This window comes from Homo sapiens, chromosome 5, assembly GCF_000001405.40.
Source record: "Homo sapiens chromosome 5, GRCh38.p14 Primary Assembly".
NCBI classification, from domain to species: domain Eukaryota; kingdom Metazoa; phylum Chordata; class Mammalia; order Primates; family Hominidae; genus Homo; species Homo sapiens.
In genome coordinates this window covers 1,571,252-1,595,162 of record NC_000005.10, presented here as the reverse complement: position 1 = coordinate 1,595,162, position 23,911 = coordinate 1,571,252, and the positions used below count along the sequence as shown (strand labels likewise).

At 48.1% G+C, this 23,911-nt stretch overlaps 1 pseudogene across 1 annotated transcript, besides 6 other annotated features; it reads left to right on the top strand.

Annotated features, from left to right (window-relative positions):
* Positions 435 to 944: a silencer, noted in NCBI's record as "silent region_15885". NCBI's record gives its function as "represses an Ori minimal core promoter by ATAC-STARR-seq in GM12878 lymphoblastoid cells {active_cell/tissue: GM12878}" and the evidence as "EXISTENCE:reporter gene assay evidence [ECO:0000049][PMID:35858748]".
* Positions 455 to 749: an enhancer, noted in NCBI's record as "tiled region #3968; HepG2 Activating DNase unmatched - State 1:Tss, and K562 Activating DNase matched - State 1:Tss". NCBI's record gives its function as "activates a minimal TATA promoter and a strong SV40 promoter by Sharpr-MPRA in HepG2 cells, with weak activation in K562 cells {active_cell/tissue: HepG2 | K562}" and the evidence as "EXISTENCE:reporter gene assay evidence [ECO:0000049][PMID:27701403]".
* Positions 632 to 23,206, top strand: SDHAP3 (SDHA pseudogene 3; annotated as a pseudogene). The gene is made up of 7 exons (NR_003263.2): positions 632 to 768; positions 1,879 to 2,050; positions 5,798 to 5,916; positions 10,030 to 10,179; positions 18,854 to 18,984; positions 20,868 to 20,981; positions 22,877 to 23,206. The product of NR_003263.2 is annotated as an SDHA pseudogene 3 (transcript).
* Positions 1,402 to 1,901: an enhancer, noted in NCBI's record as "H3K4me1 hESC enhancer chr5:1593377-1593876 (GRCh37/hg19 assembly coordinates)". NCBI's record gives its function as "activates a minimal SCP1, AML or CMV promoter by ChIP-STARR-seq in naive H9 embryonic stem cells {active_cell/tissue: H9 hESC(naive)}" and the evidence as "EXISTENCE:reporter gene assay evidence [ECO:0000049][PMID:30033119]".
* Positions 1,902 to 2,403: an enhancer, noted in NCBI's record as "H3K4me1 hESC enhancer chr5:1592875-1593376 (GRCh37/hg19 assembly coordinates)". NCBI's record gives its function as "activates a minimal SCP1, AML or CMV promoter by ChIP-STARR-seq in naive H9 embryonic stem cells {active_cell/tissue: H9 hESC(naive)}" and the evidence as "EXISTENCE:reporter gene assay evidence [ECO:0000049][PMID:30033119]".
* Positions 18,345 to 18,845: an enhancer, noted in NCBI's record as "H3K4me1 hESC enhancer chr5:1576433-1576933 (GRCh37/hg19 assembly coordinates)". NCBI's record gives its function as "activates a minimal SCP1, AML or CMV promoter by ChIP-STARR-seq in primed H9 embryonic stem cells {active_cell/tissue: H9 hESC(primed)}" and the evidence as "EXISTENCE:reporter gene assay evidence [ECO:0000049][PMID:30033119]".
* Positions 18,846 to 19,346: an enhancer, noted in NCBI's record as "H3K4me1 hESC enhancer chr5:1575932-1576432 (GRCh37/hg19 assembly coordinates)". NCBI's record gives its function as "activates a minimal SCP1, AML or CMV promoter by ChIP-STARR-seq in naive H9 embryonic stem cells {active_cell/tissue: H9 hESC(naive)}" and the evidence as "EXISTENCE:reporter gene assay evidence [ECO:0000049][PMID:30033119]".
* Positions 23,207 to 23,911: the final 705 nt, after the last annotated feature.

Below are 23,911 nucleotides of genomic sequence, written 5' to 3'. Positions count from 1 at the left end.
AAATACTATCTGAACCAGAAGCAGAATCAGGGTAAGCTAGCAGAAAGGCGTATGAGCCAAAGGGATCTACGCAGCTTTCAAAGCTGACCACGGCCGTGCGCGGTGGCTCCGCCCGTAATCCCCGCACTTGGAGAGGCCGAGGAGGGAGGATCGCTTGAGGCCAAGAGTTCGAGACCAGCCCGGGCAACACAGCAAGATCCCGCCTCTACAAAAAATTTAAAAATTAGCCGGAAGCCAGAGGCTAGGGACACGGCTGAGGATCGCTCCCTCACCTCACAGGCCGGAGACCGAGGGTCACACCCGCTCACTAGAGGCCAGAGGCCCGTGGCCGCTCCCGCCCGCCTCCGCGGACGAGCGCCGCCCCTCCGACCCCATTCCCTGCGATCTGGACGTTCGGGGCCTTTCGGTCTGGGCGATCCCAGGGAACCACCCACGGGGCTTTAAAAATGTTGGTGCCCAACACCTCCCCGGAATAGGGCCCGCCCTACATCGGTCAGGGAGCGCGGGACCTCCCTATCCCCACAGCGCCACCGTCCGCAGGTGCGCTTTGTGCAGGCGAGGCGCCTCCACTATGGCCCCGCTTGACCCCGTGCGCAGGCGCGGCATCCCACCCGCCGCGGTTCCTGCCCCCCAAAGCTCGACCCCGGTGTGGTGCGCAGGCGTAGTCTGCGCGGGGACTGGCGGGACTGCGCGGAGGCGACTACAGGCATGGCGGTCTGGGTCCTGTCGCGCCTGCTGAGCGCTCCGCGCCTGGCGCTGGCCAAGGCGGTGAGTCCGTGCCGCGGACCGGGGCGGGGCAGGCGGGGGCCGAGGCGGCGGTAGGAGCGGGACGGTCCCCAGCGGGCCCGAGCAGAGCGGGCGCCAGGTCCTTGCGCCCCCTGTCCCGGGATCTGGAAGGGGCTGGGAGAGCCCTGCGCCAGTGCAAGGGGGAGCCGTGGGGCGGACTCGGGGGTCCGGGGAGCTCGGTCCTTAGCAGGTAGTCCGGTGAAGGTCACGACCCCGCGGGCTTGCTGGGCGTCCCCTCCGCCGCCTTGGTCCGGGCCTGGGGTCCAGAGACCTCCCGGGCTGAGGTAGCCCCTCGCCTCAGTGCCTGGCGGGTGGACTTGGGGAGGAGTCGTGTCTGCCCAAGGTCACCAGAGCTCCTTGTTGGGCGAGGTGGGTGGAAGCTGTTACTTTCCCTGTGTAGATGAAGAGGTGAACAGCGAGTGGAAGAGTCTGGAATATCAGTCTCCCCTGCTGATGTTCCTCCACCTGCCGTGCTCCTGGGTCTGAGCCGGAGCACAGGTGGTGAGGGCCCCGGGAACATGGGACACGGGGGACAGTCGCAGATGCTGACATTGGAGGTCCTCTGACCTGCTTGTAACAGCAGGTGCTCAGGGGCAGAGGGGAAACTGGGGGATACCTTCGGAAGCTTCCCTCTGAAGAAGAGTAGCTATGGTCCTTACTTCCCTCTTAGATACGGTCTTTACTTCCCCTTTTTTTTTTTTCTTGGAGGTGGGGTCTCACTCTGTCGCTTCGGGTGGAGAGCAGTGGCGCGATCTCAGCTCACTGCAACCTCTGCCTCCCAAGTTCAAGTGATTTTTCTGTCTCAGCCTCCCTAGTAGCTGGGATTACAGGCACCCGCCATTATGCCCCGCTAATTTTTGTATTTTTAGTAGAGATGGGGTTTCACCATGTTAGCCAGACAGGTCTTGAACCCCTGACCTCAGGTGATCACCAGCCTCAGCCTCCCAAAGTGCTGAGATTACAGGTGTGAGCCACCACGCCGGGCCTACTTCCCTCTCTCTCTGACCTGCAGCACAGACACCCTATTGGGGAAGGTGGGCTGGTGGAGGCATGAGCACCTTGACATTTCACCTGAAATCTTCCTTTCCACAGGTCCTGAGGCACGTGAATGGCCAGGATCAGATTGTGCCCGGCCTGTACGCCTGTGGGGAGGCCGCCTGTGCCTCGGTACATGGTGCCAATCGGCTCGGGGCAAACTCGCTCTTGGACTTGGTTGTCTTTGGTCAGGCATGTGCCCTGAGCATCGAAGAGTCATGCAGGCCTGGTAAGTGTTTTCTTCAGGAGCCAGACTATTTGAGAAGGCGCAGGAAGTTAGAAAGTCTTTTTTCTTTTTTTTGAGAAAGGGTCAGCCCAGGCTGGAGTGCAGTGGCACAGTCATAGCAGCCTCAACCTCCCGGGCTCAAGCAGTCCTCAACACCTCAACCTTCAGAGTCCCAAGTAGCTGGGACTACAGATGTGCACCACCACACCCGGCTAATTTAACAAAAATTTATTTTGTAGAGACAGGGTCTCACAATATTGCCCAGGCTGGTCTTGAACTCCTAGACTCAAACAGTCCTGCCTCAGCTTCCCAAAGTATCGGGATTACAGGCATGAGCCACTGCACCCAGCCAGGTTACAAAGCCTTGATTTCTTACTGGAAATTTGCTTAGTGATCATATAGAGGTAGTCTGGGTTTTTCCCCCAGAAGTGATTAAACTGAGAAATCCAGAAATTATATGGTGGTAATGTTGAGACTAGATAGAGGCTGGTTGGGGATCTTAACAGTTAAGGTGACATTTTTGGGGTTACGTTTTTTTAAAAAATTATTTTGCAGTCGTTATGTTCTGCTTAGAAAAAGCACTATTAGGAAGTTGTTATTTTTACTTGCCTGATAAAAATCACTGATTTGCAATGAAATATCTTAAATAGTTGGCATGAATGAATATGTGACTTCTTGGTACTTAGAAAAGTAATTTAGGCCATTCTAGAAACAAAGTACAGCTAGCCTCTATTAGAGGAGAAGGGATGACTTACAGTGAACAGGATTCCCACCCTTTACGGACAGATTGGATTTCACTTGCTGGTTTTCTTTTCATGATAGCGTCAAATAATGTGCAGTAAAGGAAATACCACGTGTGGGAGTGTGAGTCTTACGTGCACTAAGAACGGGGCAGTTAGCATCGCTCCTAACTCCAGACATCTTCACGGTGGTCATGCAGCCTCGTGTGCTCAGAACAGTGTGAGGTGGATGAGGCACTGGTGGATGTTTGCGTGGCAAGGATGGTGGGACCCCAGGCCCATGTTCTTCCCGTTACCTTTCTCTGGTGTTAACTGTTAGCATCATTTCTGCTGTTTTTATACAACAGGTGCTTTTTGTATGGATTCAAGTGAAATAAAAACTAGCACGGCCGTAACTTATAAACATGCCCCCTTTTGTATCTGTAGTTAGAAAGGTGCAGATAGTATTAAAAGGGTAGCTTACTTCAGACACTCTGTCTCTGGATCTGACCACTGCTCGGGAGGCCAGCACACGCAGAGCTGGCGTCTCATCCCCAGCCGTTGCTGATCATCGGCGAAGGCGGAGTTCAGGTCCATCGTTCCTGACGCCGCAGGTAGTGCTTATCTCACTCCATAGCCCCGCACTTTGTAGCGGTGAGGACCGATATCACTTCTCTCAGAGCAATGTAGAAATTTTGAGCTGCTCTTTCTTTGAAAATGCAAAAAAGAACATTTTGTAAGAATACCCTATACTTTACATCTGAGAAACCGCTCACGCATGCAGCATCTCACGCAGAATGCTGTGGAGTCAGACTCAAAAGGCTGCACGCCTGTGGTTCTGTTGATACGACATTCTGGAAAAGGCACATCTAGGGAAGAAAAGGGATTGCTGGTTGCCAGAGGCTGTTTCCTGATTGTGCTGATACAGACACAACTCTGTGTGTGTCAAAATTTGAAAAACCCTACACTAAAAATGATGAGTTTATTTTACTGTATCTTTATGCTTTAATTTTTAAAAATGAAAAGGAAAGAAAAAATGGTTGTAGCATCACTATTCTCCCCCAAGCCCCCCTGCAAAAAAAAAAAAACACATATATATGTGTATATATATGTGTTTTTTTTTTGTTTTTTTTTTTTTTTTTTTCAGAGATAGTCTCCCTCTGTCGCCCAGGCTGGAGTGCAGTGGTACGATCAGGTGCACGCCACCACACCTGGCTAATTTTTAAAAATGTTTCATTGGGATAGGGTCTCCCTGTGTTGCCCAGGATGGTCTTGAACTCCTGGCCTCAAGAGGTCCTCCTGTCTCAGCCTCCCGAAGTAGTTACATGCGTCTATACATATGTTAAAATTGGTAGAACTGAGGCTGGGTGCGGTGGCTCACGCCTATAATCCCACCGCTTTGGGAGGCCGAGACAGGCAGATTGCTTGAGCTCAGGAGTTTGAGACCAGCTTGGGCAACATGGTGAAACCCCGTCTCTACCAAAAATACAAAAATTAGCTGGGCATGGTGGCTCACACCTATGTAGTCCCAGCTACTTGGGAGGCTGAGGTTGGAGGATTGCTGGAGCCTGGAAGGCAGAGGTTGCAGTGAGCCGAGATCACACCACTGTACTCCAGCCTGGGCAAGAGAGGGAGGAGACACTGTCTCAAAAAAAAGAAAAAGTAAATTGTAGAACTGTCCACCTAAAGAAAAAAGTCAATTTTACTGAATGATCAATTTTTAAAGCATTATTATCAAAAGGAGGAGAAACACCAGCGAGCCTAGAAGCATTTGAGCAGAACCTCAAGAGACCCATAGCCTGGTCCTGTGGAGAGGTGGTGGGCGGGGTGGGGCCTGTTTGACTCCTGCATTTCATACATCCTACCTCCTGCATGTGTTACCTGTTGAAGAAAATATATATAATGTTATAAAAAAAAACTTTAAAGTTTTTTTCAAGACATCTTAGAAACACAAGAGTTGCAAATCTTGGCTGTGCACAGTGGCTCACACATGTGATCCCAGCACTTTGGGAGGCCGAGGCAGGTGGTTCACCTGAGGTCAGGAGTTCGAGACCAGCCTGGCCAACATGGTGAAACCCATCTCTACTGAAAATACAAAAATTAGCCAGGTATGGTGGTGTACTCCTGTAGTCCCAGCTACTCCGGAGGCTGAGGCAGGAGGATTGCTTGAACCAGGAGGTGGACGTTGCAGTGAGCCGAGATGGTGCCACTGCACTCCAGCCTGGGCTACAGAGTCCATCTCAAAAAAAAAAAAATTGCAAATCTTTTGGACAAGAGTCCAAATCAGCAGGTGACTTTCATGCACACAGCGGCCACCTTCCTCCCCTTGATGTGAAGGACAGTGGGGTGGCCGGCCCCTCGGGACCACCATCTGGAAGGTGTCTTTTTTTTCCCTTAGTGGAGTGACACTTATATACACTTAATGTATATACATTTGTATACATTTAATTTTTTTTTTTTAAGACAGAGTCTCACTCTGTTGCCCAGGCTGGAGTGCAGTGGCGTAGTCTCAGCTCACTGCAACCTCCACCTTTCGGGTTCAAGCAGTTCTTGTGCCTCAGCCTCCTGAGTAGCTGGGTTTATAGGCGCGCACCACCATACCCAGATAATTTTTGTGTTTTTAGTAGAAATGAGGTTTTGCCACGTTGGCCAGGCTGCTCTTGAATTCCTGACCTCAAGTGATCCACCTACCTCAGCTTTGTAAAGTGCTGGGATTACAGGCGTGAGCCACCGCACCCGGCCTACATTTAATTTTTTAATTTTAGAGATGATTTCTAGTTTATTCACTCTAAGATCACTTAATGGATATCTACTGTGTGCCAACAATTTTGCCTTTATGTTCTTTAAAATTGGCCCCAACTCAACAGATGGCCTCAGACGTAGGGTGGGCTGGTAGTGTGTTAGCTCAGGAGTCTTACACAGTTTCCAAGCTCCTTGAGTGGCTGTGCTACATGTTTCTGTGTCATTCTAAATCCATTTGGTTTTTTAAAAAAGTTTTCAAAAGTAAAATTCTAGCTTTTTTTTGTTTTAGGAGATAAAGTCCCTCCAATTAAACCAAACGCTGGGGAAGAATCTGTCATGAATCTTGACAAATTGAGATTTGCTGATGGAAGCATAAGAACATGAGAACTGCGACTCAGCATGCAGAAGGTAAGAGCCTGGACTCGCTCTGGAGTGAGCAGGCGGGCTGCATACCTGGCCCTGCACTGGTTTTGTTTTTTTAAAACTAGATCTAGGGGGATGCAGGTGCAGTTTTGTGTGGATGTACTGGGAGGTGGTGGAGTCTGGGCTTTTCATGTACCTGTCACCCAAGTCGTGTGTGTTGTACCCAGTAGGTAATTGTTCAACCCCACCCCTCCCGCTTTTTGGAGCCCCCAGTCTCTGCTAGTCCACTCCATGTGTACTCACCGTTCAGCTCCCATTTCCAAGTGAGAATGTGTGACACTTGACCTTCTGAGTCACTTCACTTAGGATAGTGACCTCCTGATCCATCCTGCAGCCATCTTCTGTGGCTGCAGAAGACATGATTGCATTCTTTTTTTATGGCCGAGTAGTATTTCATGGTATATATGTACCACATTTTCTTCATCCGGTCATCCGTTGATGGGCACTTAGGTTGATTCCATGACTTTGCTGTTGTGACTAGTGCTGCGATAAATACACAAGGCTGCACCAGAATCTGGAGGTAAACAGCGGTAGGACGTACTCCTCACCGTATCAAGAATATGAAAGAGACCAGGAGGCCTGAACTATACAGAAGTGCACTTCTTTTCCACATAGAAGGTCAGCAGACTAGGGCAGAATTAGTGACTGCTTGGCATCCAGGACAGCCTTCTGTGGTTCACTCGTGTGTGCTTGGGTGTGACCTCCGTGACCTGACCGTCGATGGCTGTCATGGATGAGTCACAGCGTGGAGGAGAGGGAACCGCAGGACCGCCGGAGAAGCTCAGTCCCCAGCAGGGCAGCTTTCTCTTAGAGGTTTCCTGGAGTTCAACACAACACTGGTGCTTACATCTCAGGCCCGGATATTGATCATGTCATCATGCCTGGCTTCCAGCAGCTTGGAAATGTCTTTAAGCTGGACCTGTTGCTGGCCCTAAATATACTCGGAAGAGAGGGAGAGTGGGCGGCGGGTGGAAACTGATCTGTGGCCTGTGCGCTGGGAGTCGGTCCAGTAGGACCATCTGTGATGATGGAAATGTTCCGAGTGTTTGCCATCCAGTATGGCAGCCATTAGCCATGGGGCCGTGGAGAACCTGATATATAGTCAGTCTAAGAAACTGAATTCCTCTAATAACAAGGATTCTTGTCCATGAATGAGATCTCTTGTCTACTATTTGCAAGGATTTCTGCATATTTTCTAAAAAGAAGTCTATTGCTTTAGTCCTATTCTGAAAGGCATTTGGTGTTAGACACAAGAGAACAGGTTCCCTGCTCACATTTTCAGAGGCCTGTGCCCTTCAGTCTTCAACTGAGGCTGGGCTTGAGGGAGGCTTTGTGGAACAGTGAGAAGAACAGCATGACTAAGGCACAGAAGGCTGAGTGATGCCCTGCAGTACTTTTGTAGGGTTGAAGGCCAGCTGGGAAAGAAGGAACCATTGCATTAGAGAATGGGAACATGCCTTCAGATACAGAAATGGCAAATCCATGAGATAGTTTGAAGTGAGAATACTAGAAGCATTCCCACCATACAAGTTGCGTCTTGGTGCCTGCTGTATCCCAGGCTCCATGAGATGCTGGAGTCGGCACTGAACAAACAGAGCTTCCTGTACTCATGGAAATGTGTTTCGTTGGGGGAAGGGATTTTTCTGCTGACTCCGGCCATTAATAGTAAGAAGCAAAAAAAGAAATGAGGTAAATTGTTGGGAACAGGGCCCCAAATGTGGCCATAAACTGGCTCAAAACTGGCCATAACAACAAAATCTCTGCAGCACAGTGACATGCTCTTGATGGCCATGATGCCCACACTGGAAGGTTGTCAGTTTACCAGAATGAGGGCAAGGAACACCTGGCCCACCCAGGGCGGAAAACTGCTTAAGGCATTCTTTTTTTTGTTTGTTTGTTTGTTTGTTTGTTTTTCAACTTTTTTTTTTTTAATTGATCATTCTTGGGTGTTTCTCGCAGAGGGGGATTTGGCAGGGTCACAGGACAATAGTGGAGGGAAGGTCAGCAGATAAACAAGTGAACAAAGGTCTCTGGTTTTCCTAGGCAGAGGACCCTGTGGCCTTCCGCAGTGTTTGTGTCCCTGGGTACTTGAGATTAGGGAGTGGTGATGACTCTTAATGAGCATGCTGCCTTCAAGCGTCTGTTTAAAAAAGCACATCTTGCACCGCCCTTAATCCATTTAACCCTGAGTGGACACAGCACATGTTTCAGAGAGCACAGGGTTGGGGATAACGTCACAGATCAACAGGATCCCAAGGCAGAAGAATTTTTCTTAGTACAGAACAAAATGAAAAGTCTCCCATGTCTACCTCTTTCTACACAGACACAGCAACCATCCGATTTCTCAATCTTTTCCCCACCTTTCCCCCCTTTCTATTCCACAAAACCGCCATTGTCATCATGGCCCGTTCTCAATGAGCTGTTGGGTACACCTCCCAGACGGGGTGGTGGCCGGGCAGAGGGGCTCCTCACTTCCCAGTAGGGGCGGCCGGGCAGAGGCGCCCCTCACCTCCCGGACGGGGTGGCTGGCCGGGCGGGGGGCTGACCCCCCCACCTCCCTCCCGGACGGGGCGGCTGGCCGGGCGGGGGGCTGACCCCCCCACCTCCCTCCCGGACGGGGCGGCTGGCCGGGCAGAGGGGCTCGTCACTTCCCAGTAGGGGTGGCCGGGCAGAGGCGCCCCTCACCTCCCGGATGGGGCGGCTGGCTGGGCAGGGGGCTGACCCCCCCCTCCCTCCCGGATGGGGCGGCTGGCCAGGCGGGGGGCTGACCCCCCCTACCTCCCTCCCGGACGGGGCGGCTGGCCGGGCAGAGGGGCTCCTCACTTCCCAGTAGGGGCAGCTGGGCAGAGGCGCCCCTCACCTCCCAGACAGGGCGGCTGGCCGGGCGGGGGGCTGACCCCCCCCACCTCCCTCCTGGACGGGGTGGCTGGCCAGGCAGGGGGCTGACCCTCCCACCTCCCTCCCGGACGGGGTGGCTGCCTGGCGGAGACGCTCCTCACTTCCCAGACGGGGTGGCTGCCGGGCGGAGGGGCTCCTCACTTCTCAGACAGGGCGGCTGCTGGGCGGAGGGGCTCCTCACTTCTCAGACAGGGCGGTTGCCAGGCAGAGGGTCTCCTCACTTCTCCGACGGGGCAGCCGGGCCAAGATGCTCCTCACATCCCGGACGGGGCGACAGGGCAGAGGCGCTCCCCACATCTCAGACAATGGGCGGCCGGGCAGAGACGCTCCTCACTTCCTAGATGGGATGGCGGCCGGGAAGAGGCGCTCCTCACTTCCTAGATGGGATGGCGGCTGGGCAGAGACGCTCCTCACTTTCCAGACTGGGCAGCCAGGCAGAGGGGCTCCTCACATCCCAGACGATGGGCGGCCAGGCAGAGACGCTCCTCACTTCCCAGACGGGGTGGCGGCCGGGCAGAGGCTGCAATCTCGGCACTTTGGGAGGCCAAGGCAGGCCGCTGGGAGGTGGATGTTGCAGCGAGCCGAGATCACGCCACTGCACTCCAGCCTGGGCACCATTGAGCACCGAGTGAAGGAGACTCCATCTGCAATCCCGGCACCTCGGGAGGCCAAGGCTGGCGGATCACTCGCGGCTAGGAGCTGGAGACCAGCCCGGCCAACACAGCGAAACCCCGTCTCCACCCAAAAAACACGAAAACCAGTCAGGCGTGGCGGCGTGTGCCCGCCATCGCAGGCACTCGGCAGGCTGAGGCAGGAGAATCAGGCAGGGAGGCTGCAGTGAGCCGAGATGGCAGCAGTACAGTCCAGCTTTGGCTCGGCATCAGAGGGAGACCGTGGAAAGAGGGGAGAGGGGAGAGCTGTTTGTTTGTTTTAGAGAGGGTCTCTTAAGGCATTCTTAAACCACAAACAATAGCATGAGCGATCTGTGCCTTAAGGACATGCTCTTGCTGCAGATAACTAGCCAGAGCCCATCCCTTTGTTTCCCGTAAGGAATACTTTTAGTAAATCTTATGACTGGCTTGCTCTCAATAAATGTGTGGGTAAATCTCTGTTCAAGGCTCTCAACTCTGAAGGCTGTGAGACCCCTGATTTCCCACTCTACATCCTATATTTCTGTGCGTGTGTCTTTAATTCCTCTAGTGCCGCTGGGTTAGGGTCTCCACAACCGAGCTGGTCTCAGCAAGTGGCGCCCACACATGGGGGCTCGAATCCAGGTCGAAGGGTCACCGGAGCGACAGAAAACTTGGAACTAAGCTGGAGGACACCGAGTACTCTTATGCAGTCCCCATGGTGAGTAAGAAGGGGAGCTCAGAAGCATCAGGGTAACGATGGGACACGTGTGGGCTCTGGTTCTAAGCCGGAGGACACCCAAGTACTCTTACCCAGTCCCCATGGTGTGTAAGAAAGGGAGCTCGGAAGCATCAGGGTAACAATGGGACACGTGTGGGCTCTGGTTCTAAGCTGGAGGACACTGAGTACTCTTACACAGTCCCCATGGTGAGTAAGAAGGGGAGCTCGGAAGCATCAGGGTAACAATGGGACGTGTGGGCTCTGGTTCGTTCCACCTTGGAACCTTTTCACGCTAATAATAAGGGGGAAGGAGAGTATAACGAAGTAACAGAAGAAATAACAGAGCAGGTTTGTTTGCCAACTAAAGCTAAAGCGGCAAAGGAGGGAGAGGTTCATCCCTACCCTTCTGCACCCCCTCCTTATTTTGAAGAAAAAGAGTGGCCTGACCCTCCAGATCTTTCATTTCCAGAGGACAGTGGGCGAAAAGTAGTTGCTCCAGTGACTGTCCGAGCAGCACCTTGAGCGACCCCTCTCAGTTCTATTCAGGTAGGAATTCAGCAAGCTAGATGAGAGGGTGATTTAGAGGCTTGGCAGTTCCCTATTAGAATACACCCCGCAGATCAACAGGGAAATATAGCCACATTTGAGCCTTTTCCCTTTAAATTACTTAAGGAGTTTAAACAGGCTATCAATCAATATGGACCAGGTTCTCATTTCGTAATGGGACTGTTAAAGAATGTTGCTGTTTCCAGTCGGATGATTCCTACTGACGGACACTCTTACTCGAGCTTGTCTAACTCCTGCTCAGTTCTTACAATGTAAAACTTGGTGGGCAGGTGAAGCTTCCATTCAGCCTACTTGCAGCGCCCAGGCCCAACCTCAAATTAATATAACTGCAGACCAACTTTTGGGGGTCAGCGGCTGGGTTGGTTTAGATGCACAAGTGGTCGTGCAGGATGATGCCGTAGAACAGCTTAGAGGAGTGTGCATTAGAGCTTGGGAAAAAATCACTTCAGGTGGAGAACAATACCCTTCCTTTAGTGCAGTAAAACAGGGACCAAAAGAACCGTACGCAGATTTTATAGCTCAGTTACAGGAGTCTCTTAAAAAGGTGATTGCAGATTCGGCTGCTCAGGATATAGTGCTGCAGTTATCAGCTTTCGACAATGCTAATCCCGATTGCCAGGCTGCTCTGTGACCTATCAGAGGGAACGCACACTTAGTTGATTATATCAAGGCCTGTGACGGTATCAGAGGTAATATGCATAAAGCTACTTTGTTGGTACAGGCAATGGCAGGACTGAGAGTGGATAAAGGAAATCCTTTGTTGCCTGGAGCTTGTTTTAACTGTGGGAAGCATGGTCATACTAAACAAGAACGTAGAAAAAATGAGTGAGTCAGGCTGCCAGATAGGGGAAAAAAGAAAACTGCTGAGCCTGAAATATGTCCAAAATGTAAAAAAGGAAAACGTTGGGCTAATCAGTGTCACTCTAAGTTTGATAAAGATGGGAACTCGATTTTGGGAAATGCCATGAGGGGCCCGTCCTGGGTCCCGTTCCAAACCGGAGCGTTTCCGGCTCAGGCCATTCCCTCACCCCTGTACAATGTCTGTTCCCCGCCACAGCCAGTAGTGCCACAGTAGATTTATGCTGCACATTAGCTGTGAGACTTCTGCCTGGGGAACCCCCACCAAAGGTCCCAGCAGGAGTCTGTGGACCCTTGCCAGCGGGGACAATAGGATTACTTTTAGGAAGGTCTAGTTTAAGTTTAAAAGGAGTACAAATACACACAGGAGTCATTGATTCAGATTACAATGGGGAAACTCAAAGTGTTATATCTACTTCTGTTCCCTGGAAAACAGAGCCAAGAGAGCATATAGCACAGCTCCTGATTGTGCCATATGTGGAAATGGGGAAAAGTGAAACTAAACGAACAGGAGGAAGTACAAATATACAAAGCAAAGCAGCTTATTGGGTGAATCAAATTACTGATAAACGTCCTACCTGTGAAATAACTATTCAGGGAAAGAAATTTAAGGTTTGGTAGATGCAGGAGCGGAGATTTCAATCATTTCTCTACAGCACTGGCCATCCGCGTGGCCAATTCAACCTGCTCAATTTAACATAGTTGGAGTTGGTAAAGCCCCTGAAGTATATCAAAGTAGTTATATTTCCATTGTGAAGGGTCCAATGGACAACCTGGGACTATTCAACCAATTATAACTTCTGTACCTATAAATTTATGGGGAAGAGATTTATTACAACAATGGGGAGCACAAGTTCTAATTCCAGAGCAATTATATAGCCCTCAAAGTCAGCATATGATGCATGAAATGGGGTATGTCCCTGGTATGGGACTAGGAAAAAATTTGCAAGGTTTGAAAGAACCACTTCAAGTGGAAAGACAGTTCCTGCCAAGGTTTAGGATATTATTCTTGATGGCAGCCATTGTTAAGCTTCCAGAACCTATACCTTTAAAATGGTTAACATATAAGCCAATTTGGATGGAACAATGGCCGCTGAGTAAAGAGAAACTGGAGGCTTTAGAGGACTTAGTTAATGAACAATTAGAAAAGGGACACATAGCTCCAACATTTTCCCCTTGGAATTCTTCAATTTTCGTAATTAAGAAAAAATCAGGTAAATGGAGAATGTTAACTGACTTAAGAGCCATTAATTCAGTTATACAACCTATGGGGACATTACAGCCAGGATTGCCTTCTCCTGCTATGATTCCAAAAAATTGGCCTTTAATAGTCATAGATTTAAAAGACTGTTTCTTTACTATCCCCTTAGCTGAGCAAGACTGTGAACGGTTTGCATTTACAATTCCTGCAGTAAACAACCTGCAGCCTGCTAAGCGTTTTCATTGGAAAGTGTTGCCACAAGGCACGTTAAACAGTCCAACGATTTGCCGGATTTGTGTAGGGCAAGCAATTGAACCTCCTCGTAAAACATTTTCACTGTGTTACATTATTCATTATATGAATGATATACTTTGTGCTGCCCCTACTCAAGAAATATTACTCCAGTGTTATGATCACTTGCAAAATTCAATTTCTGGTGCTGGTTAAATTATAGCTCCTGACAAAATTCAGATTACTACTCCTTACTCCTACTTGGGAACCTTAGTAAATGACACTACCATTGTGCCACAGAAAGTAGCCATACGTAGGGATCAATTGAAAACATTAAATGACTTTCAAAAATTACTAGGGGACATTAACTGGATACAACCTGCTCTAGGCATTCCTACCTATGCCATGAGTAATCTGTTTTCTATCCTTAGAGGAGATCCTAGTCTCACCAGCCCTCGGTAATTAACAAGAGAAGCTGAGGCAGAGCTGCAGCTAATCGAAAAGCAAGTCCATAAAGCCCAAATAAATAGAATCGATCCAGAGAAGACTCGAGCTGCAGCTGATCGAAAAGCAAGGCCATAAAGCCCAAATAAATAGAAACGATCCAGAGAAGACTCGAGCTGCAGCTGATCGAAAAGCAAGGCCATAAAGCCCAAATAAATAGAAATGATCCAGAGAAGACTCGAGCTGCATCTCATCAAAAAGCAAGGACATAAAGCCCAAATCAATAGAATCGATGCAGAGAAGACTCAAGCTGCAGCTGATCAAAAAGCAAGGCCATAAAGCCCAAATAAATAGAATCGATCCAGAGAAGACTTGAGCTGCAGCTGATCGAAAAGCAAGGCCATAAAGCCCAAATCAATAGAATCGATCCAGAGAAGACTCGAGCTGCAGCTCATTGAAAAGCAAGGCCATAAAGCTCAAATCAATAGAATCGATCCAGAGAAGACTCGAGCTGCAGCTGATCGAAAAACAAGGCCATAAAGCCCAAATAAATAGAATAGATCCAGAGAAGACTCGAGCTGCAGCTGATCAAAAAGCAAGGCCATAAAGCCCAAATAAATGGAATAGATCCAGAGAAGACTCGAGCTGCAGCTGATCGAAAAGCAAGGCCATAAAACTCAAATCAATAGAATAGATGCAGAGAAAACTCGAGCTGCAGCTGATCAAAAAGCAAGGCCATAAAGCCCAAATGAATAGAATTGATCCAGAGAAGACTCGAGCTGCAGCTGATTGAAAAGCAAGGCCATAAAGCCCAAATCAATAGAATAGATCCAGAGAAGACTCGAGATGCAGCTGATCTAAAAGCAAGTCCATAAAGCCCAAATAAATAGAATAGATCCAGAGAAGACTCTAGATTTGCTAATTTTTCCAACTCCACATTCAGCTACTGGTGTTATTGTTCAAGAGCAAGATCTTGTAGAATGGCTTTTTCTTCCACATACTAATTCATGGCCTCTAACTCCTTATTTGGATCAAATTGCTACTATGATAGGAAATGGGAGAACTCGGATTGTTAAATTACATGGATATGATCCTGAAAAAATTGTCCCTCTCACGAAGGCACAAATACAGCAAGATTTTATAAATAGTCTTACTTGGCAAACCCATTTAGCTGACTTTTTGGGTATTCTCGATAATCATTTTCCTAAAATGAAACTGTTTCAATTTTTGAAATTAACTAATTGTATTCTCCCTAAAATAACTAAACCAATTGAACGTGTGGAGAATGTTTTTACAGATGGGTCTAGTAATGGTAAAGCTTCTTACTCTGGCTCGAAAGGTAAAGTTTTCCAGACACCCTATGCTTCAGCTCAAAAAACGGAGCTTGTAGCTGTAATTGAGGTATTGACTGCTTTTAATATGCCTATTAATGTGATTTCTGATTCTTCATATGTGGTTCATTCGACACAATTAATTGAAAATGCTGAGTTACGATTTCATACAGATGAACAACTGATGACTTTATTTATGCAATTGCAAACAGCAGTTAGGAGTAGAATGCACCCTTTTTACATCACTCACATTAGGGCTCATACACCTCTTCCAGGACCTTTGACTGCAGGGAATCAAATGGCTGATCGCCTAGTTGCTACTGCAATATCTAATGCTGGACACTTTCACAATTTAACCCGTGTTAATACCTCTGGTCTCAAACGCAGATACAGCAGTACCTGGAAAGAAGCTAAAGCTATTATCCAGCGATGCCCAACTTGCCAAATGGTACATTCCTCATCTTTTACAGGAGGAGTTAATCCTCGAGGATTGGAACCTAATTCTCAAGCTCTAGCTAAATTTTTCTCTATACGGAATATTAAACACATTACTGATATCCCATATAATTCTGAAGGACAAGCCATAGTGGAAAGAATGAATCTCTCCCTGAAACAGCAGTTGCAGAAGCAAAAGGGGGAAAACAGGTACTACAGGACACCCCATAAGCAATTGAATCGCATTATTAACTTTAAATTTTTTGAGCCTGCCTAAAGGCCGGATCTTATCAGCAGCTGAACAGCATCTACAGAAACCAGCTGCAAAGACAGAAGCAGAACAACTGGTTTGGTGGAGAGACCTGATAACAGAAAGTTGGGAAATAGGTAAAATAATAACTTGGGGTAGAGGTTATGCTTATGTTTCTCCAGGACTGAACCATCAAGACACCTGAAACCTTATCATGAGCGAATGCTGAGGAAGAGATTCCGGGAGGATCCCGAGGACCCCCCCAGTTGCAGCCATGTCAAGACTGATGCTGAGGAGGACCCCAACTGTCACGAGCAACACCCGTCAAACACAGCCATCCACCTGAGGTCAGATCAAGAAGCTGTCACAGATGGCAGAAGAAAACCTGAGGTAAGTGGGACAACCAGTCAAAATGAGTAATTTAATGGTAGCTATGATAGTGGTGATCACCATTGCCATGAGTATTCCTTCAACAAGGGCTGACACAGAGAACAATTATACTTACTGGGCATATTTATCAATCTTGGCTGGCAAGAATGCCTGGATGTAATCACTCTATGACACAGTTACACATGCTTTCTGATCTCAGTATTTACCATGATAAATCTGCTCCTATAATTGAGGCATACCGCCCTCAAAAACCTATCTGTAAACAGGATTGGACCCAGTCAGAGAAAATGAACGTACATGTTTGGGAAGATTGCATTGCAGAACAGGCAGGGGTGCTGGCAACGATTCCTATGGAATCATTATTGATTGATCCCCTACGGGGATGTTTAGCTTGAATTGCACCTCTCAGTCTGTGTGCCACGGCCCCACTATGTTCAGCTGGTCTGAACAAAATGGTCAGATGGTAGAAATGATAAGAAATACGGCAAGAATTCCTATTATCTGGAACCATGGCGGTGTAGTGGCACCTCAACCTCAAATGATATGGCCCTTTGTAGGAGCTAAACATAAGGATTTGTGGAAACTGTTAATAGCTCTTAATAAGATCAAAATTTGGGAAAGAATAAAAAAGCATCGAGAAGGACACTCTACAAACTTGTCTTTGGATATTGCAAAATTGAAAGAACAGATATTTGAAGCATCCCGGCACACCTGACCTTAATGCCAGGAACTGGAGTGCTTGAAGGAGCTGCAGACAGATTAGCAGCTGGTAACCCATTAAAATGGATAAAAACACTTGGAAGCTCTGTGATTTCAATGAAGATTGTGCTTTTAATCTGTGTTGTCTTTGTATAGTCTGCAGATGTGGATCCTGACTCTGCAAGAAGTAGCCCACCATGACAAAGCTGCCTTTGCTTTTATCGCTTTGCAAAACAAAGGGGACATGTTGGGAACAGGCCCCCCAATGTGGCCATAAACTGGCTCCAAAACTGGCCATAAACAAAATCTCTGCAGCACTGTGACATGCTCGTGATGGCCATGACGCCCATGCTGGAAGATTGTCGGTTTACCAGAATGAGGGCAAGGGACACCTGGCCCACCCAGGGTGGAAAACCGTTTAAGGCGTTCTTAAACCACAAACAATAGCATGAGTGATCTGTGCCTTAAGGACATGCTCCTGCTGCAGATAACTAGCCAGAGCCCGTCCCTTTGTTTCCCATAAGGAATACTTTTAGTAAATCTTACCACTGGCTTGCTGTCAATAAATATGTGGGTAAATCTCTGTTCAAGGCTCTCAGCTCTGAAGGCTGTGAGACCCCTGATTTCCCACTTCACATGCTGTATTTCTGTGTGTGTGTCTTTAATTCCTCTAGCACCACTGGGTTAGGGTCTCCACAACCGAGCTGGTCTCAGCAGTAAATATTGAAAAGGAATAGATACAATTGTCATTATTTACAGATAGAATTTCCAAACAATTCCCAGGGAATAAACTGAAAAACTAACAGAAACAAAACAAGAATGTAGTAAGGTGTCTGGGTAAGAGATTTGTATCTAAAAATCAGTAGCTTTGCAATGTGCAAGCAGTAATCTGCTTAGACATCAGTAAATACCTCATTCATATTTTAAACAAAAAATTAAAAATGCCTTGAAATAATGTAACCAGAAATACAAAAAAAAAGGATATGAAAACGTGGCTGCTAATGGACATGAAAGAATGTAATACTAGATTCTGAGATGCAATTTTTTTCATTTGTTCTTCCTGAAAAATCATTAGGTTGATGTGCATTACAGTGTTACGATTATGTATGAGTCTAAGGAAAATCAGATGAAATTTCCAAATTAAACCATGAAGGTGCATTGGTAGAGGAAGAGACAATTAGGGTCAGTGGAGCAAAGCACAGTTAGAGGGAGAAGCAAGGAGGAGGAGGGATCACTGAGGTGGTGCCTGTCTGTCCCACAGGAAGCAAAAGCTGACGCCTACTTCCCAGCATACCTAAGTAAACTTCAGGCCCACTGCATAGCACATGTCTCATCACAGTAAAACTATGAAGGAACTCAGTGTACAAGGAGCTTCTACAAGATAGGCAGAAGACAGTAGCCAGATGGGCCTAGGGCCCCAGCCACCCACGCCCCTCCCTCTCCTTGAAGACCTGTGGCTCCAACACCACCATCACCAGGGCTCTGCTCAGCTCCTCCTAGTGTGTATCACCACAGGGCTGCTGGCTTGTGTCACGTTCACCACCAGACCCCGCGTCAGGAGTCCCGCCAGGGGTGTGGGGAGGCAGCACTGCCTGGTTGGCCGTGGAGCTGTATGGAACATGGTGCCTCACAGGCAGTCTGCTTGGAGTCCTGGACCCTGGCTGTATCCCGCTGGAAAGGATGTGTGTGGGTCTAAGATGTGTATGTAATAGAAACATTTATTTATTCAGAAGCTTTAGTCAAAACTTCATTTTTAAGTTCAGAGTAATAAACTCATAGTCTGAATTTCCTAATTTTTCTGTTTAATTTACTTAACTTTTAAATGAAATGCAAAACAACAGGTCTAAAAATTAAGCAGTTCTTGATATGGCTGCTTCTATGGATTAAAAGTTTACAAATAATATTTTGTAATATCAAAATATTAAATGCAAAATCATGCTGCCGTGTTCCGTGTGGGAAGCGTGTTGCAAGAAGGTTGTGGGAAAATCAGCAAGCTCTACGGAGACCTAAAGCACCTGAAGACGTTCGACCGGGGTCAGCAGACAGTGGGCTCTGTGCACACTGTTGGGCCCTGCCTTCTGCAGGGTGGGCTGGTGTCTGTCCCGTCAGTGCTGACTTAGTTCCGTGCTTGCTGTCTGGATGGGTCCTGGCCCACAGCTATAAAGCCACAACCAGTGACTCCATGGACTAGCAGGCCCAGGCTGACAGCTCGGAGGGCCCATGTGACTGGGTCCCGCCTGCCCCTGATGGAACTTTTTGTGTCCCCAGGAATGGTCTGGAACACGGACCTGGTGGAGACCCTGGAGCTGCAGAACCTGATGCTGTGTGCGCTGCAGACCATCTACGGAGCAGAGGCGCGGAAGGAGTCACGGGGCACGCACGCCAGGGAAGGCTACAAGGTCGGCCTTCTCACCACGCCCACCTGCACCTGCCTTTTCCTCCCGCCTGGTGGGACTCAGCCCCACCCCTGCATTTTCTCTGCATTTTATTTCGTTGCCCCAGAAGTAAATCCAAAAAATCCCTTTTTCCCCCTGGTAACTTTGATCCCTGGGTTCTCGCCATCTTCTGGATCACCGTGACCTTTTCCTTGCTTTGGGTCGGCATCCACTGATGCCAGCAGTGGCATCTCCAAGCCAATGTGCTTTGCTGTTAGAAGGCCAAGGTTAGAAGTGCAGCTAGAGTGGCATGACCAGGAAGTAAATGCCAGTTTATTAAATAACGAGTAAGCCACTGTTTCAAGCCTGCCCTGTGGAGGAAATGCCAGTTTATTAAATAACGAGTAAGCCACCATTTCAAACCTGCCCTGTGGAGGAAATGCCAGTTTATTAACGAGTAAGCCACCGTTTCAGACCTGCCCTGTGGTTTGGAAAAGGTATCATAGAGCCTGCCCTGTGGTTTGATTATAGAGCCTGCCCTGTGGTCACTTGTTCTTCAGATGAACTGATTTTTGTGCAGAGCACACGTGTTGGATTCTGCCTGGTAAGAGTTTTTCCCATATGATAGCAAAAAACAACAGAAAGGGAAGCTTGGGGTGCAAATGCAAGTTCAGGATAAACCACATCAGCAAAAGGACAAAGGCTCCACAAGGCAGGCGCACAGGCTGGTTCAGGACCGTGTGTAGGCGGCTGGTGGCAGCCTTTCCAGTCAGCTGAACATGGTGAATGGGAAAATCATTTTTATTCACCATGAAATTTTACTGATTTACCCTCCACTAGAATATGCTAATGGCTGTGATCACTGCTCAGAACTTGCTCTTGTCTCCTTGTACGTATTAAGAGTTTCCTGCAAAGTATGTGAATCCGTGTTTGCCAGAATACAGAATAATAAATTTATTTTACTTTTTTTTTAAGATGGAGTCTCACTGTCCCCCAGGCTGGAGTGCAGTGGCGGCGATCTCAGCTCGCTGCAACCTCTGCCTCCCAGGTTCAAGTGATTCTCCTGCCTCAGCCTCCCAAGCAGCTGGGATTACAGGCACGCACCACCATGTCTGGCTAATTTTGTATTTTCAGTAGAGACGGGTTTCACCATGTTTGCCGGGCTGGTCTTGAACTCCTGACTTCAAGTGAACCGCCCACCTCGGCCTCCCAAAGTGCTAGGGTTACAGGCATGAGCCACTGTGCCTGGCCAGTGCATAAATTTAGTTGGTGACAGCGAGTTTTAATTAGAATAGAAGCCAGGTGCAGTGCCTCACACCTGTAATCCCAGCATTTGGGAGGCTGAGGCAGGCCGATCACTTGAGCCCCAGAGTTCTAGAACAGCCTGGGCAACATGGTGAAACGTGTCTACAAAAAAATAAAAAATGAGCCAGGCGCGGTGGTAGCGCAGGAAGCTGAGGCAGGAGGATTGATTGAGCCTGGGAAGTCAAGGCTCCGGCAAGCTGTGATCACACCACTGCACTCCAGCCCAGGTGACATAGCCAGACCCTGTCTCAAAAAAAAAATTTTTTTTTAATAAAAACAGGCTGAAAGAAAAGATTGAGGTAGTCTCCCAGCACATGGAGCAAAAAGACAAAGTATTTGATAAACTCTTAGGTACATAAAGGATGCTTAAGGGAACATGCGGACATGGATTACTGTGGACTCACTGCTGGCTGCACACCCCCTGGCCAGCCATGCGGCCTCCGTGGGTTCTGAACATGTTGATGGTGCCAACCTCCTGGGCTGAAGTGGAAATGGAATGAGTTCTAGGGCATCTGTCTCTTAGATCATGTTAATGTCTGCTGTGTTTTTTCTGTATTGCTCTGTTAGAGTAATAAGAAACGTGATGGTGTTTCTGGCCTCAGGTGCAGATTGATGAGTACGATTACTCCAAGCCCATCCAGGGGCAACAGAAGAAGCCCTTTGAGGAGCACTGGAGGAAGCACACCCTGTCCTATGTGGACGTTGGCACTGGGAAGGTCAGTGTGGAGCTCGTTCTCACCACAGCCCAGCACCCACACGGCCCCGCCCAGGCCTGCGGGCTGGCCTTGCTGATGGTGAACAGGGAGGAGCAGGCCAGATTTAAATCAACTCCCGACAGATTTGAGGCACCGCTGAAAAAGGCACTCTGACAGCAGTTGGGCTTTGGGCTGGAAACAGAATCCAGTTCCTGCAGGTGGTTCAGAGGAGCCTTAAGGAAGGGTTGCTCCGTGGTGTGGGTCAGATGGACGTCACTAGGCAGGAGCAAGTGTCCAAGGCCTGGTGGCAGGGGAGGAGATGATTGTAGACCTAGTGAGAAAGTCAGCATCTGTGGGGTGGGGACACAGCCACTACCAGAAACCAGTCCCACGTCAAGGGAGCCCAGAAGAGACGCCTCCCCTCTCCTCCCACGGGCTGGGCCAACTGGAAGCATCTGCAGGGGAGCTGAGGGGATGTGGTGCAGTCTTTAGCATCCCCTGGGCACTGAGCAAGCAGAGAAGGGCAGAAATGGAGGTGGGGTTGGGGTGAGCAGCATCCTGGGAACAGCCAGCCGAGGGTGTGGTAGGGGGTCGCAGCCTTGTTCCACACAAGCACAGTTCACCCGTGTGGCATTTCCGCTGGGCATTAAGATTCAGAAACAATGAAGATAGAAAGCTTTTACCCTTAAACTTTTCATAGCTTGTAAGAGTCGTATAATCACTTAGCTGTGTCTGTGGAAGTTACCTTTGGACTCTCACTATCATCTAGTGTGTCTGTGATTCGGGCAGTAGGTCATTTTCAGGACTTCTCATGAAGGCCATTTCCTGATAGTGTATAGAAATCACACTTCACTCGCTTAGCACAAGTCTATTTTTAATGTTTCCGGGTTCGGGTTTTTTGTTTTGTTTTTGTTTTTCTGAGATAGAGTCTCATCTGTTGCCCAGGCTGAAATGTGGTGGCTTGATCTCGTCTCACTGCAGCCTCAACCTCCCCCAGGCTCAGGTGATCCTCCCACCTCAGCCTCCTGGGCACATGCCACCATGCCTGGCTAATTTTCATATGTTTTGTGGAGATGGGGTTTCTCCACGTTGCCCAGGCTAGTCTTGAACTCCTGCGCTCAAGTGATCCACCTGTCTTGGCCTCTCCAACTGGCATGAACCAACACGCCCAGCCAGTTTCAGTGATTTTTCAAGAAATACATACTCATTTTAGAAAGTACAAAGAGATTGAAATAAGAGCTCACTAACCAGAGACGACCCATTATGGTTTAAATTTCTTTGTATATGTGCCTACCTTTTCCTGTGTGTGTATATTTAATACACAGCTTGAGTATTCCTTCTCTGAAATCCTTGGGACCAGAAGCATTTTGGATTTCAGGCTTGTTCAGACTTTGGAATATTTGCATTATACTTACTGTCTGAGCATCCCTAATTGGAAGATCTGACTCCATAGCACATTTCTTTTGAATGTCATGCTGGTGCTCAGAAAGTTTCAGATTTTAGAGAATTTCAGATTTTTGGATTAGGGATGTTCAACCTATATAAATACTAAACTTTGAAGTAGAAAAACTGGAAGTAGATGGTTTAAACATAAAGTGTCTTGGTATAGACAAGGGTTCTCCCACTGCTCATGACGGGAGCATTATTGTAAAGCACTGAGAATCTGGTACAGTGTCATTTTCGTTGCTCTGTTCCACTCTACGAATCTGCCATCATTTACAGTCCCCTGTTGTGCATGTAGATCATTTTTGAATTTGTTATTGGAAAATACTGCAGCAAATACCTTTAAGTTCACATGCTGTAAATCTACTTTTATAGTTAAAATTTTTCAAAAGGAACACAAGAGATGGTTTTTTGTACATTTTTGTGCTTAACTTACCACTGACTCTTCTTTTCATGGTCACCCTGGGATATAGACCCGTAATCGACAAAACTTTGAACGAGGCTGACTGTGCCACCGTCCCCCCAGCCATTCGCTCCTACTGATGAGACAAGATGCGGTGATGACAGAATCAGCTTTTGTAATTATGTATAATAGCTCATGCATGTGTCCATGTCATAACTGTCTTCATACGCTTCTGCACTCCGGGGAAGAAGGAGTACATTGAAGGGAGATTGGCACCCAGGCTGGGAGCTTGCCAGGAACCCAGTGGCCAGGGAGCGTGGCACTTACCTTTGTCCCTTGCTTCATTCTTGTGAGATGATAAAACTGGGCACAGCTCTTAAATAAAATATAAATGAACAAACTTTCTTTTATTTCCAAATCCATTTAAAATATTTTACTGTTATGACTTTAGTCATATTTGTTGACCTAAAAATCAAATGTAGTAATCTTTGTATTCTGTTACATCAAAATCCAGATATGTTCTTGTAGTTTCTTTTTTTTTTTCTTTTTTTTTTTTTTTTTTTTTGAGACAGGATTGGTGCAGTGGTACAATCTCAGCTCACTGCAGCCTCAGACTCCTGGGCAGCTCAGGTGATCTTCCCAACTCAGCCTTCTGAGTAGTTGGGGCTACAGGTGTGCACCACCACGCCCAGCTAGTTTATTTTGTAATTGTAGGGACAGGGTCTCACTGTGTTGCCTAAGCTGGTCTCAGACTCCTGGGCTCAAGTGATCCTCCCTCCTTGGCCTCCCAAAGTGCTGGAATTATAGGTGTGAACCACCATGCCTGGCTTTGTTGTAGTTTATTTCTAAGTTCAAATTAATGTTGGTGCCTGAGAGCAAATGGAGAAAACGAACATTTCCTCCTTTTTCTTGGCAGATGGTTTACTAGGTGAGTGTGTCCTCGATTATTCAAATCAGGGGTCCCCAATCCCCAGGCCACAGATTGTTACCAGTCCATGGCCTGTTAGGAGCCAGGCCGCACAGTAGGAGGTGAGCAGTGGGCCGGTGAGCTACTGTGTGAACTCCACCCCCTGCCAGAGCATTACTCTGTGAGCTCTGCCCCCTG